The 18111-nt window shown below is 46.8% G+C and overlaps 1 protein-coding gene across 10 annotated transcripts in view; it reads right to left on the bottom strand.

Moving 5' to 3' along the window:
• The window catches only part of ARHGAP44 (Rho GTPase activating protein 44), a 202146-nt gene that overhangs the window by 15198 nt on the left and 168837 nt on the right, over window positions 1-18111 (bottom strand). For 4 of the 10 annotated variants that reach the window (NM_001321164.2, NM_001321166.2, XM_047437221.1 and 1 more), the window contains 2 exons: window positions 17549-17729; window positions 2136-2357 (listed from right to left, as the gene is read on the bottom strand). In NM_001321164.2, the coding sequence (NP_001308093.1) occupies window positions 2136-2357; window positions 17549-17729 (403 nt within the window). Of the gene's footprint in view, window positions 1-2135; window positions 2358-3126; window positions 3145-17548; window positions 17730-18111 lie in introns of all 10 variants that reach the window. The other 6 variants (NM_001321167.2, NM_014859.6, XM_047437222.1 and 3 more) reach the window with 2 other exon arrangements.

The raw sequence follows: 18111 nt of genomic DNA, 5'->3' as shown, positions 1-18111 counted from the left end.
AGATGGGGTTTCACCATGTTGGCCAGGCTGGTCACGAGCTCCTGACCTCAGGTGATCCGCCCGCCTCAGCCTCCCAAAGTGCTGGGATTACAGGTGTGAGCCACCGTGCCCGGCCGTGAAAATACTTTTTACTCATTAAACAAAATAAAACAAAAAAGCCTGGAAGCCTCTCATGTAGGGGGTTGGTGTGGGTGTGGGTGTGTGTTTGTGTGCTGGTGGTGATGGTGTGTGAGGATGAGTGTCCATGTGTATGCATGTGTGTTTGGAGAAAGATTTGGGTTAGAAGATTCAGCTTCCCAAAGTCTCCAAAACTTTTCTGGCAGTGGTCATGGAGGAATGCCATGTCTTCTAACAGGAGACACGGTGGCATGTGATTTCATATTGCTTTTCTGGTGTTCTAAATTGCTGTTTGAGAAAAGATAGAAACAAACAGCAAAGCTGTTTCATGGTGCAATTCTCACATCCAGAATCTGCCTCCCCTGATCATGCCCCTTTCAAGGAAGGGCCAGGTACTGTCTCCTCCCCTGCCACCCTGGGTATGCATAACCAAGTGCTGTCATTATTTGTCAGGGCCTGTTTGCTCACTGGAACGTGAACTTTTTAAGGGCAGCAATCATGTCTTTTTTTCTTTTTTTTTTTTTTTTTTTTTTGAGACGGAGTCACGCTGTCACCCAGGCTGGAGTGCAGTGGCGCGATCCGGGCTCACTGCAAGCTCCGCCTCCTGGGTTCACGCCATTCTCCTGCCTCAGCCTCCCCAGTAGCTGGGACTACAGGCGCCCGCCACCACGCCCAGCTAATTTTTTGTATTTTTAGTAGAGGTGGGGTTTCACCGTGTTAGCCAGGATGGTCTCGATCTCCTGACCTCGTGATCCACCCGCCTCGGCCTCCCAAAGTGCTGGGATTACAGGCGTGAGCCACCGTGCCCGGCCATCTTTTTATCTTTAAAAAGAGAAAGTTATCAGTTAATATTCATCAAGCTACCCATGGAATGAATTCCTGTCTTTTTCCTTCCCCTAAAATAATGGCAATTCAACCATGTGGCAAGCTGCAAAGGTCATCAGGCCCAGTACAACCGCCACCTCCATTCATTCCCTGACTTGCACCCATTTTAGCGGCATCAAAAGAAAAAAAAAAGTGGCTGCTATGACTATAAAGAGAAGGAGAAACACAGAAATTGTAAACTTCAAAATAGGATACAGTAGTCCCCCTTATCCGTGGTTTTACTTTCTGTAGTTTCAGTTACCTGTGGTCAACTGTGGTCCAAATAGGTGCGTACAGTTCAATAAAATATTTTCAGGCTAGGCATGGTGGCTCAGGCCTGTAATCCCAGCAGTTTGGGAGGCCGAGGCGGGTGGATCACTTAAAGTCAGGAGTTTGAGACCAGCCTGGCCAGCATAGTGAAACCCCATCTCTACTAAAAATACAAAAATTAGCCAAGCATGGTGGCACATGCCTGTAATCCCAGCTACTTGGGAGGCTGAGGCAGGAGAATCGCTTGAGCCTGTAAGGCGGAGGTTGCAGTGAGTCGAGATCGCGCCTCTGCACTCCAGCCTGGGCGACCAACCGAGACTCCATCTCGAAAAAAAAAAAAAATTGAGAGACACCACATTCACATAATTTTATTACAGCATATGCTTATAATTCTTCTATTTTATTACCAGTTATTGCTTATGTCCTACTGTGCCTAATTTATAAATTAAAACTTTATCACAGGTATGTGTGTATAAGAAAAAATAACAGTATATATAGGGCTTGGGACTATCAGCTGTTTCAGATATGCGCTGGGGGTCTTGGCATGTATCTCCCACGGATATGGGGGGCCACTGTAACGACAAAGACAGAGGAAGGGGAAAACAGAGTTGGGGAACCTAAGACTCTTCACCCTGCCTTCGCAAGCTGCCACCTTCTGCTTGCTTGCGATGTTATGCTGGGGAAGACTGGACTTCGTGTGATAATCCAGGCAGCTGTGGATGACTGACTTGGTGCCAGCGCGACGCAGAAGCCAAATATGAATGCTTAGAAATGGGGGCGGGGGCATGGGAAACGACGAAATCCAAGAGGCCTCCAGTGCGGCCAACCCAGACACCCCCTGCACCGCACACCAGCCCGCCCGGACGGCAGTGGCCCGCGCTTACCTGGTGCGCTCGGGCCCAGGCTGGAGGCCCAGGCCGGATGGAGAGAGCGCGGGGGCCGCGGGGCTGTCCAGGGGCTGCTCCGGCAGCGGCGAAGGCAGGGGCGCAGCCAGCTCGGCGGGCGGGGCGGGAGGCTGCATGGAGGGCGGGGCGCAGGACACTTTCCGACCGGCCGAGGAGCCTCTTCGAGCCACCCAGTTTGTGTCCATGACCCTCACACCCATGCTGGCGAGGGACACAAAGACACCGCTTACCCACGCGTAACAGATGACAGGAGACAGGCTCCCTCCCCCACATTCAAGCAGGTCCGCGTTGGGAGAAGAGCAGCGCAGCTTTAGCACCCCGGGGGCCCGGGAAGCGATGCATTGGGGGCTGTGCTCCCAGCACCCTGGCTGCTCCCGGCGGCCAAGACACAGCCCTGGGCAGCCCAGTCCTGGCAAGAGCGGCCCCCTCACTGAGGCAAGGAGCAGGGCACAGTCGGCAGCGCTGGCGGCCACAAGCTGTGCTTCAACCCTCTGCCAAAGCCAGCTCAGGATGATGGCCCGGCAAGCTCCCTGGGTGTAAACTGCCAGCCTTCCTCACAGCGGTGTGTGGCCTAACTGGGGGGGCAGGGACACTCACTCCTCCCAAGTGCAAGACGAGGTGGGAGGGGCAGCGAAGGGGGGAGCGTGGAACTGACAGCAGGAGACATCTAAATATGAATCCTTCTTTTTGTAACTTGGAGTCTAGCCCCAGCTCCACCACTGCTGGGACCCTGGCCAAGGCACACCTCTGCAGGCCACTCCCACTTGTCTACACAGCAGGGAAGGGGCTGCTTGTGCCTATGGTCCCTCTGGGCTCTGATTCTATTTTAATGATGGGCACACAGCTTCAAATAAGTCGGCCAAGCAACCAGACGCGGCGCATTCACCCTCTGGTGGAACTCACTACGATGCATAGGTGGCTCAGTTGAAGAGACTGAGCATGGCCTCATAGCTACCAGAGGATACCATACCTTTGGATTTTCCTAAGGCTGCAGGGACAGAAACATACAGATATTAGTTTCAAAAAATCTAGGCCTTCCTTTGGACATAAAGGTTGTCTTTCTGTAAGGGGTCTCTCTCCATGGTCCAGGGTCTTGGGGTGGGATTTTTATTGTGCTATAAAATTATTACAATTTAGTTGGTCTCTCTAAAGTGACTCTCCTATTTGTGTAAGTGTAAGTCATACCCTACCATGCACACAGGTAAAGAGAGCAGCTGAAGAGTTGATATTGGTGTGGCATGGGGAAGAAAGAGGCAGAAGGAAGAAAGAAACTGGTAAAAGTAGTCATCTGCTCACTTCTTTTTTTAAAAAAACATTTTACTTATTTATGACCAGGCGCCATGGCTCACATCTGTAATCCCAGCACTTTGGGAGGCCGAGGCTGGTGGATCATGAGGTCAGGAGATTGAGACCATCCTGGCTAACATGGTGAAACCCCATCTCTACTAAAAATACAAAAAATTAGCCGGGAGTGGTGGCAGGCACCTGTAGTCCCAGCTATTCGGGAGGCTGAGGCAGGAGAATGGCATGAACCCAGGAGGTGGAGCTTGCAGTGAGCCGAGACTGCGACGGTGCACTCCAGCCTGGGTGACAGAGTGAGACTCCGTCTCAAAAAAAAAAAAAATATTTATTTATTTATTTGAGACAGAGTTTCGCTCTTGTCACCCAGGCTGGAGTGCAATGGTGCGATCTCCACTCACTGCAACCTCTGCCTCCTGGGTTCAAGCAATTCTCCTGCCTCAGCCTCCCGAGTAGCTGGGATTACAGGCACCCGCCACCACACCCAGCTAATTTTTGTATTTTTAGTAGAGACAGGGTTTAACCATCTTGGCCAGGCTGGTCTCAAACTCCTGACCTCAGGTGATCCATTCGCCTCAGCCTCCCAAAGTGCTGGGATTACAGGTGTGAGCCACCACGCCTGGCCTTATCCACTGACTTCTAAGTTACATAGACTAGCAGGTGGTTAGTTCCCTTTCCTCTGGTCTAGGAGGTACTGCTGCTGTCATCTCAGCCAAGGTTTCATTGACTCATTGACTAAGGTAAGGGCTCACATTTCTAGCATTAAGGGAGAAACATTCATTCATTCAGGGAGAAAACATATACTCCCAACCAGCATTTGTCTCTATCACGTATCTGCACAGAGAGATAGGTGTATGAGGACTATGATGTGCTCACTTTCACCTCCTCCCTGCCAAATGGTCACCTACACTAGTCAGAAGCACAAAACTATTACACCATGAAATCCTGCTCACCTAGAAAGGTCATATTTACCTTGTAGAGGTACAGCAAGATTTAATAACAGAAAAAGTTCAAGTATGGAGATTTGGTTGCAGAAGGTGGGATGGTGGGATTTAGCTGTTTTAAGGAAATATGGGGAGTGATGCTGAAACCAAGCACACACTGGCATGGGAGGGCTTCCTGATCCCCTTCCTTCCATCACCAGAGGCCTTCTCATGTCTAGTACGATTGCTGGTATTTCTCATCTCCGCTGGATGGCTTCAAGGAGGCACCAGGGATGGAGGGAAAGGGGAGGGATGTCTCTTTCCTGGACCCAATAGTTTCCAAAGTCATCTGGGGTCTGAGAACCTTCTACCAATAAACAAACACTTCCTATACGATACCCAGAAATGCTTTTGGAGGCCACTTGAAACTCTGGGACACAGTCTGGTTACATCCCCTGGTATTTACAGCGGGCTGCCGAAGATCATCGAACTGTGGTCTGCAGGCTTCAGAATGTATCAGGATGAAAAGAACAAAGAGCTTAACATTCCTCTTAGGGAACGGAACTGATACCACTTAGTTGCAATGGTTGGTGAGGATTTCGGGCATGTGAGATGTTTCACATGGTGACCAGCACAAGGAGTCCTAAAAATCTAAGTCCTACCCCACCTTCTCTTCCTTGCCCCTTTCTCTTCTACTTGAAAAAGGCTTTCCCACCTGGTGAGAAGGTCTGGGCCAAAGCTGGTGGGGGATGCCTTCTATTTCCCCAACAGTACCTTCTAGCATCAGGAATCTCAGACACCAGCCTCCTTGGTGATCTTCTGGTTTACCAAGGGAAGGTGTCAGCTTGGGCATGGGGTAGGTACTGGGCGAGACTTGCTAAATAACACTGGCAAACTTCGGCAACTGAGAAATATGGGTTCAACGTGCTACTTCTCCTCTTGTAAAGAGGCTACAGTGCCATATGCAATCACGACTTTCCCAGCTGAAATGACTTTCTCATAAGAGGGAGCATCACATGTTCCACTGTGAATTCACATCAAATGTTCACTGACATTTTCAAACAGTAATATAAATCTTTACACAGTAAATCAATCACAACGGCAGCAGCAATGCTGTTGGAAGCCTAAAAGTGCATTTACCTTCCAAAGCAAGATGGTATATGTAAATGTTCAAATGTCTAGATAAAACTCAACCTGAAGACAGAAATAATAAAATTGCTCAGTATGCTGCCAAGAAGGGGAATCTATTCACAGATCGGGGATCCAACTAGAAGGTTATATCAGCAGTTCACAAGCTTCTGTTCATTGTTTTATTGCATAAAGAAACAGTAGCTGGAATCAAGGCACTGCTGCTGTTTCTTAAGAAAGGAGCAATAAAGAAGTGGAATTAATAAAACATATCTGACTCCAGCAGACATCCCTGCATGGATACCTAAGGACAATCTAGATGGCAAAGATTTCCCAGGCTTCTGCTGAAAACTGAAAACAATTTGGCTTTTAGATCCCTTTATAGTTGAATCAAGGTGAAAGCAAGAAGTCAGAGGCCAGCAAGAATCTATGTGAAGCAAAGGGCTTAGAAATCACTAAGCAGGAGGTAGGGAGCCTACAGAATCTGGGGAGTGGAACCTGAGGTGATTCTCTCCACTGCTTCTTTTTTCTTTTCTCTTCTCTTCTTTTTCTTTTTTTTTTTTTTTTTTTTTTTGAGACAGGGTCTTGCTCTGTCGCCCAGGCTGGACTGCAGTGACATAATCATGGCTCACTGCAGCCCCAACTTCTCGGGTTCAAGTGATCTTCTCATCTCAGCCTCCTGAGTAGCTTGGAATACAGGCACATGCCACCACATCTGGCTAATTTTCATAATTTTTTTAGAGATGAGTTTCACCATGTTACCCAGGCTGGACCACTGCTCTCTCTCAGAGTAAGAAGACAAGGGGCAGGGAATCCAGAATTGACACTGCTCATCATTGAGATGCACAGGATGGGAGTCAGGTGATAAGTCCTCATTTTGGCAAGGTAGACCCACTGAAGAACAATCTTCCCTGCCTGCCAGCATCTTATATTTGCATAGGATTTATCATAATGGAAACGTGGGTATTTTTCATGAGATGGTATCATGGAATAGGTTCTAGAACGACCCAGGCCTCTAGTCCCAGTTAACCATTTGCTGACTCAGTAGAGCTCTCTCTTCACCCATAGAATGGAGCTAATACCTCCCTTCCTGTTTCCGGCATTTCCATGAAGATAGTTTATCAATTATTGAGTGCTGAGATGTATTTAGCATGTCCTTGCACCATGACCTGGTGGCAGAAGCTGAGCGGTCATACAGTGGGTTGTAGTAGGGTCTAGCTAGCTAAGCCAATGGTGTTTTATGATGTGGACAAGCTGGAGATGCAGAGCATCAGACAACACCTTGATGGACGGAATATAAAGGCCTAGTATCTGGCTTGTGTTTTTTGGGTATAACGTGGTGACTCCACAGCCTCTCCAGCTCAGGACAGCAGGGCTTTGAAAGCAGAGAATTTGGGTATGAATCCTAGATTTTCCAATGACTAACTCTATAATATGGAGGAGTTCTATCTGATTATCCTCGAATCATCCTTTGTAAAATGGAATAATATGCTTCTCTTCCTTCGATTTGTTGTAAGGAGCCAATGAAACTGTGGCCATAAAGCCCTTAGCTCTTACTAAGAAATCAGTAAGATGTAGTGTCAATGAGAATGCTTTGTGCTTATAGGTGCCAAGCGCATATGACTTGTTTTTGAAAATCTCCTCAGAGAAAGAAAGAGAATGAACGCAGGTCTAAAATATGTTGATAAAGGGGGGAAAAGGATACTCTACTGCTGACATCAGGCACAGCATGATAGAGATGCTAGGAAGACCCCATCTGGCCCATGTCACCTGGGTTTATCAGGTTTCTCATCAGATTTCTTCCCTTCCTAACAGTGACCCTAAACATCAAAAGATTTTGGGGTGAGTTCTCTGATAGAAATAGACAGGGAGGCCAGGTGCAGTGGCTCACACCTATAATCCCAACACTTTGGGAAGCCAAGGTGGGCGGATCATGAAGTCAGGAGATCGAGACCATCCTGGCTAACACTGTGAAACCCCATCTCTACTAAAAATACAAACAATTAGCCGGGCGTGGTGGTGGGTGCCCGTAATCCCAGCTACTCAGGAGGCTGAGGCAGGAGAATGGCGTGAACCCGGGAGGCGGAGCTTGCAGTGAGCTGAGATGGCGCCACTGCACTCCAACCTGGGCGACAGTGTGAGACTCTGTATCAAAAAAAAAAAAAAAGAAAAGAAATAAAAGAAAAAGAAAAAGAAATAGAACAGGGAACAAAAAATGGGGACTGGAAAAAAATGAGGACTGGAGTTTATTATCAGTCCCATTTCCCTAGGTTTCTTAGTCTCGCGGGGCTCTGCTGAGTTGGATGACCCAATTTGGGTTTCAGAATAGGGGCTTGCTAAAATGCTACTTAGATGATTCCAAGCTTAAGGAACAAACAAATAAAGAGGGGATGCCTGCAAACCCTTCTAAGTCTTACTGCCCAACCCAGGTCATTGGGGCAGTAAAGGAGGCAGGAGTCAGAAGGGTCATCTTGTCTGAAAGGTTCTTTGGAAAACAAAATACACTAGGGCGCAGGAGGCTCAGCCTGGAATGGTCACAGCACTTCCTGCTTACACAGGGTTTTCCACGTCCTGGGGAGCCTCCTGCAACCGTCAGCTGTCCTTGGCTGTTAGGATATTTCGTGCTTTGTCACGAAGCCCTTGGTGTTTGTATATCTCTTGCTTGTAGAATTAGCTCAATTGCTCGTGGTAAGGTGGAGACAGATAAAAACATTCAAGCACCCGAGGTGGCAAGGAAAGGGCTGGATCGGGACGCCTCATCAGTGGGAAAGTGGGCCCCGCCACGTTGCCCCCTTAAAAACATGAGGATGTCACTCAAAAATCTGGTTCCTGTACTAAGAACAGCTAACATTTACCATGTGCTGAGCTTTGCTCTAAACACTTTGTAAGCAATATTTCGTTCAATGCTCAGAATGATTCAAGTCGGTGCTTACCATGATTTCCCCATTTTGCATATGAAGAAACTGAGGCATTCAGAGTTCAGTAACCAGGATTTGAACTCAGAGGGAGCCTGATTCCAAAGCTCAAGACTCTGCATGCAGGGCTATTTATAGGGTTATGACTTTCACACCGTGTAAGCAGGGAGAAGTAGAAAGAGAAGAACTATAAATGGCTCGTTGATGCTGGAGATGAAATGGCATGCTTCTTTTAAAGTCTGCAACCTGGTAGACCATACAGGGAGAGGATTAGGCCCAGGACCAGTGGAACGACGGCTCAGGGTTCAAGAGGGAAGCAATGAAGTGATGTGTTGGTGAGGAGGTGCTCAGCGATCACCTAGAGCAGCTAAGGGTAAACCAGTAGAAGATGTTGTCTGCTCACTTCTAAGCCCCCTGAACTTAGAAAATGGGTCATTCCTTTTACTCGAAGTGAGAAGGTCACTGGTATTGTGATGGGGCAAGCAAGGAAACCATGTGAGAAAAATGCCTTCCCGGGCACTCCATGATGGCAGGGTTCAGAATAAGCCTGTCTTTGTTGAGGAATTGAGGCAGGAGGGGAGCGTGGACAAATTCAGTTCCAGACATTGCAACCACAGTGTACAATATTCTATTGTGTATCTGCCCACTAAAAGTTATGGGCCATGCTATTTGGGAGGCTGAGGTGGGAGGATCATTGAGCCCAGGAGTTTGAGACCAGCCTGGGCAACAGAGCAAGACTGTATCTCAGGAAAAAAAAAAAAAAAAAAAAAAAAAAGCAAAAAGAGTTGTGGATCAGGATCTTCTGATTCACACCCCGAAGTTTAACCCTGGCCAGTGTCCAGGCATTGACACACCCTGGATGGAGACCTTACAAAAATTAAAGAGAAACAAAGACCTGCCCCAGCAAAACAAAAAAAAAAAAATGAGGAAGAAGGGTGCTGGGGTTGGGGCAGGGGAAGGAGGAGGAGAAGGAAGAAGAGGGGGAGAAAAAAGGAGAAAAAAAAGCCAAAATATAAAATTTGGAAGATCCCAGCTCCAAGAAGAATAGGTATCTATAGGTAGAATACACTTATCACCGGGCAGAATTTTGCTGTGGACCATTCTAGCTGAGTTGTCTGGGGTTAGCAGAACGGACCTCTGAAGATCAGACATCTGCAGTGCTGTTTTTGACTCCTGGTCAGGAAGAATCCTAGCCAGGGGAGGTGTCAGCCAATACATGGCTGTGAAGTGTTCAAGTCTATAGAGATTTGGAAGGTTTTGGTTTTTGTTCTAGAGATCAGTTACATTTGGCAAAGGCCAGCCAAGAAAGAGGGGGCAGGGAAACCTGGTAGCTTCCCAAATATCCACAGAAGCTTCCCAAACACCCACTGTAGGCGTGCACATTCAGGGACTGTAAGATGAACTGTGGCAGGGAGCCACAGGGTCAGCAGATGATGTCCCGGACAGCAAAGGTGAGTGAAAAGGGGACCCAAAGCTCCTAAGACTTAGCCTGGCCTACACACACCCAGTGAGGCCTGAATTCGGTATTTTCCAGCTTTTCTGGAAGTAACTCCTCTCTTCAGTAAGTAGCGACGAAGCACCTTAACCTCTCCAGTACACATAAAGGCCAAGTCCTCTGACAACATTTCAGACTTGGTCCCAGCATCCAACAATGTCTAAGTCCAGGGGAGGAGGCTGATAAGGGGCCTGGACCAAAACATCCCTCTCCATGTAGACAACCCTAAACCAAAATAGGAGTCACATTTTCCATCCATACGCAGAAGACTTTCTAGGTAAGTTTGTCTTATCATAGGTTCAAGCTCTGAAGTAAAATTACTGCATCACTTATCCATGACATAATCTCTTTCAAGGATTTTTTTTTTTTTTTTTGAGACAGCGTGTCACTATGTCATCCATGCTGGAGTGCAGTGACACTATCACAGCTCTCTACAGCCTCCACCTCCCAGGCTCAAGGGGTTCACCCGTCTCAGCCTTCTGACTAAGCTGGGACTATAGGTGTGTGCCACCATGCCTGGCTAATTTTTAAAAATTGTTTGTATAGATGATGTCTCACTGGGTTGCTCAGATTGGTCTTGAGCTCCTGGCCTCAAGCAGTCCTCCTGCCTCAGCCTCCCATAGTGCTGGGATTACAGGTGTGAGTCACTGCACCTGGCCTCAGGGATTTTAATGTGCTGTTCAACCCTCCACCACAGGATCTACAGAGGACATCCACATCTGCAATTACAAAAACAAGTCCCTTGGGGCACTGGTTCAATTTATCTCAGGTGTTGTGATATACTAAATTTGGGAAATGATACATGCTACAGCCCCCTGTGGAGGTCTGTGCCTTGTAACAGCATGTTAAAGACTCTAAGAAGTCATACACTAAAGAAACTGGTTTCAATGTGTTGATCATGTGCTTCAGGAACTTATTAGACATCAGAGTCCACCCTCCTCCCCATTCATAATATAACCAACTACCAGTGGAAACTGGTATACCATAGGGCACAGTTCGAATTATTCTAGAACCCTCTCAATCAAGTGTGCCTTTTCCAAATTACTGAACATCTAGATTAAAGTCCACAGGGGTGGGACAAGCCCTTTGCAGTGCAGCTCTCAAGCACAGGTTGAGAATGGGTCACCCACTAAACAGAGCTCAAGGGAGGCTGCTGGCCCTGATGTAAATATCCCATAGACCATTCGGGTTGCTGTCACCTGGCTCTGGTAGAGAACCCCTGAGGATCAGACCACGGTGGAGCAAGTGTAATGACAGTAGGTGCGTCGGGTTTCAGGCCTGCAAAGAGGAGCTGTATGTTGGTCTTCTGAGAATCACGGCCTGAGGTAGCTGGATCTCCGTGGCAGATCGCCGGCCCATCGGGATCCAAGGACGTTTTGATGGGGTCTGTGGGGCAGCTTCATAGATGCTGTCAGGGCCTTGACATCCGTGGGTTTCAGGCTACGAGAGGCTAGAACTAAGCAGGGGCAACAGAACAGATGGACAAGCCAGCAGGCAAGTGCAGGGAGCAGGGGCCAGAGCCAGAAGAAAGAAAAGAGGCAGTAGGGAGGAAGGTACTGAGGAAACACAGAGGTAGGGAGTGGGCAGTGGTCTACTGAAGTCTCAGATGGGCATCTTGCAGGTCGTGGAGACAGAGAGGAGAGAAGGGGAAGATGGCAGTTATCTGATAGCTATCTGGAAGGGAGGGACGTGATGCTAGGAAGGAGGTCACATTACCCATGTCGCTTCTATTCTGTTTTTTTTGAGACAGAGTCTCACTCTGTCGCCCAGGCTGGACTGCAGTGGTGCGATCTTGGCTCACTGCAACCTCCTCTGCCTCCTGGATTCAAGCAATTCTCCTGCCTCAGCCTCCCGAGTAACTGGGATTATAGGCGTCTGCCACCACGCCCAGCTCATTTCTTTGGTATTTTTAGTAGAGATGAGGTTTCACCATGTTGGCCAGACTGGTCTAGAACTCCTGACCTCAAGTGATCCGCCCACCTTGGCCTCCCGAAGTGCAGGGATTACAGGTGTGAGCCACTGCGCCCAGCCTGTCGCTTCTATTCTTGCCTCTGGGCTTCTCCACAGGTCCTTCAACAGTCCTGGCCCAGCTTGTCCAGGCTCAGTCGGGGATGTAGCCAGTGGAGGCATCTGACAAATGCTTGGAGTCCAAAGCCCAATGCTGGCTCCATGGGTGCTCCCTGACCAACCAGCAAGAGTGCAGACACTTTGGCAAACTCTTCTGAAGGCAGTAGAAAAAAAAATTGATTTGACCAGGAAGTCTGGCACTGTCAGAGAAATAGAAGGGACTGTAGATTTACTTTCATTTATTATTTAGGACTAATGACCTAACACACAAATTTCACTATTCTATAAAACAGTAAAACAACCCAAACAAAAAAGACACTAAAAACATAATCTGCACCCAAAACTTTCTAAGAAAGAGCTTAAAAAGTACAGAAAACAATAGTGTGATTTATTTAATACTTTGTTGCTCAGAGTGTTGGTGGAGTTAGGACACCCTATATATCACACCAATACTCAATGGCTAAAGTAGGAAAGTTTTGATAAATTAAAAAAAATGTAGCATTGCCAAATTCTTCATTCAGAGTGGCAAAATTATTCAGTAGTTCCCAACCCCAGCACATTAGAATCACATACTTATCCCAGGCCAGGCCATTTAAATCAGATGGGTAGATTTGGGACAGGTTGAAGGATTTTTTTTTTTAAGCTTGTTCTGGCTCTTTGTTATGTAACAAACTACCCTAAAACTTAGCATGGTTATCTGGGTCACCAATCTAGAGTTCTGGCAGGGCTTCGCAAGGCCGGCCTGTCTGCACACACGGCACTGGTGCATGGCCGGCCTGTCTGCTCACACGGCACTGGTGCAAGGCCGACCTGTCTACACACACAGCATTGGTGCAAAGCCAGCCTGTCTGCACACACAGCATTGGTGCAAGGCCGGCCTGTCTGCACACACAGCATTGATGCAAGGCTGGCCTGTCTGCACACACAGCATTGGCAGAGGTGGTCTGACTTGGGTTGAAGACTCCAGAATGACTCCTTCTCAGAGCTTGGAGCTGTGCTGGCTGTCAGGACAGTGCTCAGCTGGGCTTGAGGGCTGGGGACTTCCATTTCTCTCCAAGGAGCTGCTTGGATTTCCATGTAGGATGGTACTGGGCTCCAAGAGTGACTGTCTCCAGAGACCCAGGAAGAATCTACAAGGCTTCTTCTGACCTGGCCTCAGCAGTCCCAGAACATCACCTCTCCCACATCCTACTAGGTCAAGTAACTCACTAGAGCAACTCAGACTCGAAGGGAAAGCAATCAGATTCCAACACTCCCTGGGAGGACAAGCAAAGCATCTGCTGCCATCTTTATCAAAGCTCTTGGTGTGGAGCTGCAGTGGATGATTGTATTGGCTTCCTATGGCTGCTGTCATGAGTACCAACCACAAGGTTGGTGAACAACAGAAATTGCTTTTTTTTTTTTTTTTTTTTTTTTGAGATGGTGTTTCACTCCTGTTGCCCAGGCTGGAGTGCAATGGCACTATCTCGGCTCACTGCAACCTCCGCCTCCCTGGGTTCAAGCGATTCTCCTGCCTCAGCCTCCCAAGTAGCTGGGATTACAGGCATGCGCCACGATGCCTGGCCAATTTTGTATTTTTAGTAGAGACAGGGTTTCTCCATGTTGTTCAGGCTGGTCTTGAACTCTCGGCCTCAGGTGATCCACCCAACTCGGCCACCCAAAGTGCTGGGCTTACAGGCATGAGCCACCGCGCCTGACCCAGAAATTGATTTTCTAAATAAATTAGAATCAGTATTACCAGGTGGAAATCAAGGAGGGAGCAAGGCTTTGCTCTCTCTTCTAGCTTCTGGTGGCTGTTGGCAATCTCTGGCTTGTGGCCATCTCTTCAAATTTCTCTCTGTTCCATCTTCACATTTCCTCTGTGTGTGTAGTAAAATCTCTCTCTGCCTCCCTCTTAATAAGGATGCACATGATGTCATGTAGAGCCCACCTTGATAATCCAAAATAATCAATCTCCTTATTTCGAGATCCTTATTTTAATCACATATTCAAAGACCTTTTTCCAAAATAAGGAAATATGGATAGTTTCCAGGTCTTTAGATCTATTTTTCTTTGGTGGATGGGCATTATTTTACCTACCACAATGATGAAAAATGTATATGTAAGCTCCTGAACTGGTCACCAAGCCCTGCTAAAGAAACCCAGCTTCCTGCATCATTTCAAATCAGAAAGGCATCAGGACCAAAGCCCAGAGTCGCGAGGGAAGTAAGAAGCTTTGTATGACATCTAGGACATAACAGCCATCAGCCTAGGAAAGTGTCACTGACACAAATCGGTAACTTACCATTTCTTTGCAATTTTACCCAGTTTTTCTGCCCCTCAATTTTCTTCTTTTTAAATAAGTATCTGCTTTATTGATATATAATTCATATATATATATATTTTTTTTTAACTTGGCCAAAAACCTTCAATAACATGAGCTTTAATTTGTCAGGGTTTCAATGAGCAGTGTGAAGACTTTAAAATGTATCTCATAGATTTCAAAAGATCAGAAATGGGGCCAATATAGAGAACTGGCCTAATGTTACTAAGATAACATAGGGACTCAAGAGATGCAAATTTCTCTCCTCTCTCCAAAAACACCCACTCTTTAAGGTCAGGTAAGAACTGATCTTCTACAATTCACTACACTTCCTTAAAACGTACGCACAGATGCTCTACCTCAGACAACTCAGGGAGAGCCACCCTAAACCGGTAAGACCTTCATTGAATTTAACTTTTTTTTTTTGGAGACAGAGTTTTGCTCTTGTTGCCCAGGCTGCCATGCATGGCGTGATCTTGACTCACCACAACCTCCACCTCCCAGGTTCAAGCAATTTTCCTGCCTCAGCCTTCCGAGTAGCTGGGATTACAGGCATGCGCCATCATACCGGGCTAATTTTGTATTTTTAGTAGAGACGGGGTTTCTGCCTGTTGGTCAGGCTGGTCTCGAACTCCCAAGCTCAGGTGATCCACCTGCCTTGGCCTCCCAAAGTGCTGGGATTACAGGTGTGAGCCACCACGCCCGGCCTGAATTTAACATTTAATACACATTTTGAAACATTTATTTTATGTACAACAATACATTATGTAATAAATTTCCTATACTCTTAAAGTAGATGGTGGCAGTTTCAACTTCAAATAAGAATAGTATACAGAGTGGACATATCATTTAGAAAATTCTTAAGCAGGAGAGCTTTATCAGAGATAAGGTATCTGCTCAAGATATTGCTCAAGCTTCTGCATCTGCCTGCAGATAGTGGGCCAGTGAACTCTGAGTACTCCAATGCATCTGCAGTGGTAACTCTCTCTCAGAGGCCATTTGGAGTGCGCCCAGGAGGCACTGGAATCAAACCAGATCTGGCAGAGAGGATGGAGGAGGGATGGAGGGGCACACTTTGGGGTAGAAACACCTGGGAAGGAATATCAGGAGTGCTGTATCACCCAACCAGGACCAGAATTTACCCTCAGGAGCATCCCTTCAGCTTACAGAGATTTCACATAGGAACTGCGTTAATAAGATTTAAAAACAAGTTCCAATGCACTGTCTAGTTTTCTCTGTCTCTGACTCGCAGATTCTAAGTATGTTCTTTTTTATAGATTAAAGAAATTTTTTCTGAGGCCAGGCACAGTGGCTCACACTTGTAATCCCAGTACTTTGGGAGGCCAAGGCGGGAGGAACACTTAAGGTCAGGAGTTCGAGACCAGCCTGGCCAACATGGTAAAACCCCATCTCTACTAAAAATACAAAAATTAGCCAGGCATGGTGGCTCCTGCCTGTAATCCCAGCTACTCGGGAGGCTGAGGCCTGAGAATTATTACTTGAAACCGGGATGCAGAGGTTGCAGTGAGCCAAGATTGCACCACCACACTCCAGCCCGGGTGACAGAGCGAGACTCTCTTTCTTTTTTTTTCTTTGAGATGGAGTCTTGCTCTGTCGCCCAGGCTGGAGTGCAATGGCACGATCTCAGCTCACTGCAACCTCCACCTCCCAGGTTCAAGTGATTCTCCTGCCTCAGCCTCCTGAGTAGCTGGGATTACAAGTGCGTGCCACCACTCCCGGCTGGTTTTTGTATTTTTAGTAGAGATGGGGTTTCACCATGTTGGTCAGGCTGGTCTCGAACACCTGACCTTGTGATCCACCCACCTCAGCCTCCCAGTGTTGGGATTATAGGCGTGAGCCACCGCGCCCAGCTGAGACTGTCTTAAAACAAAACAAAACAAAAAAGAAAGACATTTTTTCATACTCATTTGAATTTCTAAGAATTTCCTTTTTTTTTCTTTCTCCACTAAGTGGAGAACAATAAACACCAGCATAGCGCACACAAACAACTCCCATCTGCCACATACAAATTGTCTCTGATAGGTGAAGTAACAAAGAAGAGATACTGGCCATTGTGAAAGCTTGACCGTCATCCCAGGAAACAAGCCTAGGTCTCCTCTGCCAACTTTAGTTCTCCAATACCAACTCCCATTCAGAAAGAAGTGGGGTGAAAAGTAAGATTCACACACCTCTAACAGTTCTTGGATTTTCAACCTTCCCTCCTGCACCGCTTTAGGCCATGGGCCTTTTCAAGCATATCTTTCTGGCTGCCCAGTGGTCTGTCCGGAAAGGGGAAGGTTCTAGCTAGGTTACTTCCTGTTGTCTGCATTTCCGATACTCCCATTCAATGCTTTATGCTCTCATCTATCCTAAAGGAGCACTTGCTACATTTTATTTTACAGTAGTAATTTTTAATTTCTAACCAAAGTTCACTGAACTGACTTGCCTGACCAACCAAGACGATCCCCTCCTGTAAGAGGTATTCGTGGATGCCTGCAGCTTGCTGAACACGCTCATTAGTCCACGTCCTCTGGTTGCCATGGCTGAGCCGGTGCTCACCGTGAGTCAGCTGTGCTTGTTACGAAACCTGTTTATGCCCATCTTACTTGCTATGGGAATCATTATGTAGTTCAATATTATATAAACTAATTTAACATGAGTGTGGACAGGGTTGTTGCTGAGCAAACTAAATTGAATGTACTTACAAGCCTCTTAATAACTGCATTGAAGTAGTTATGGATGTTAATAATAAAAGATAGGAAAACATCTTAAAAACCTAGAAGGATTTTACGCTCAGGCTGTTTCAAGTTTTAGGCTGAAACTGGGAACGTTAAACTGTACATTAAAGGTATTGTTTGTGCCAGGATGCTTCTGAAGAATGCAATGAGCCCATTCATAATCAAAGTAAAGCCACTACAAATTCTGGAATTGATCTACTTGTATACATTTTGATTCCAAATAAAGTGCGTATGTATTTTTTTTAATTGCACTCAGTGACTACTTTTTCTTTCTTTTGATGAGAACTAATTAATACTGATCACAACTGTGTCAGCTAAGAAGGCTACACTGACCTCTGGTCTAAAGGGCGGCAAGCCAAAGAAACTCATCCCAGACACAGCAGATACAGTTTAATTGCTACGAGTCACCTAAACTGCTGAGAGTCAGTGCAGCCTTCCCGTAATTGTATTTTTCTTATGCGTCACCCATCCACCCCCACCACCTCCCCTAATCCCCAGTGCTGAGAAAGAGACACCAGTTCATACCCATCCTTTTTGTAAAACTCCAGCATCATATTATCCGTGGCGACGCTGAGGGGCCGGCGGGCCTGCTCGGGCTGGCGCCGGTCAGCAGGGTCCATGTCTGGGGAGGGCATTGAGCTGTAGTTGGCATTATGGTTCACGTGTACTGGACTCCCATAATTGCCAGTAATGTTGAACTCTATCTCTGCGGGGAAGAAAGAATTGGTACATGTGAACTCTTGGTCTGCCACACCCTTCCTGGGCAGGGGAGGAATGAGTCCAGACACCCACTCCCTCGTATGTCATCCCTAGAAAATTTCATCCCATGGTTCACCTTATTAATATAATGCATCACATTAACAGGCCAAAAAGGGGGACACATGTGATCACCTATATAGGCATTTAATAAAGCAATGTCAATTTGTGAAAAAAAAAAAAAGTTTGTAAAAACAGGAACGGATACTTTCTGAAATATATGAAATCATCTTTCTAAAACCTCATGCTTAAGACTGAAAGCCGACAGCTGTCCTAAACTAATCAGGAGAAATGGCAATGCTCACTACCACTACCATTACTTAACACCATTT

The sequence above is a fragment of the Homo sapiens genome, chromosome 17 (genome assembly GCF_000001405.40).
Source record: "Homo sapiens chromosome 17, GRCh38.p14 Primary Assembly".
In the NCBI taxonomy this organism is placed as follows: Eukaryota; Metazoa; Chordata; class Mammalia; order Primates; family Hominidae; genus Homo; species Homo sapiens.
Note: the sequence above shows the minus strand (reverse complement) of the source record. Positions and strands in the feature narration are given on the sequence as shown.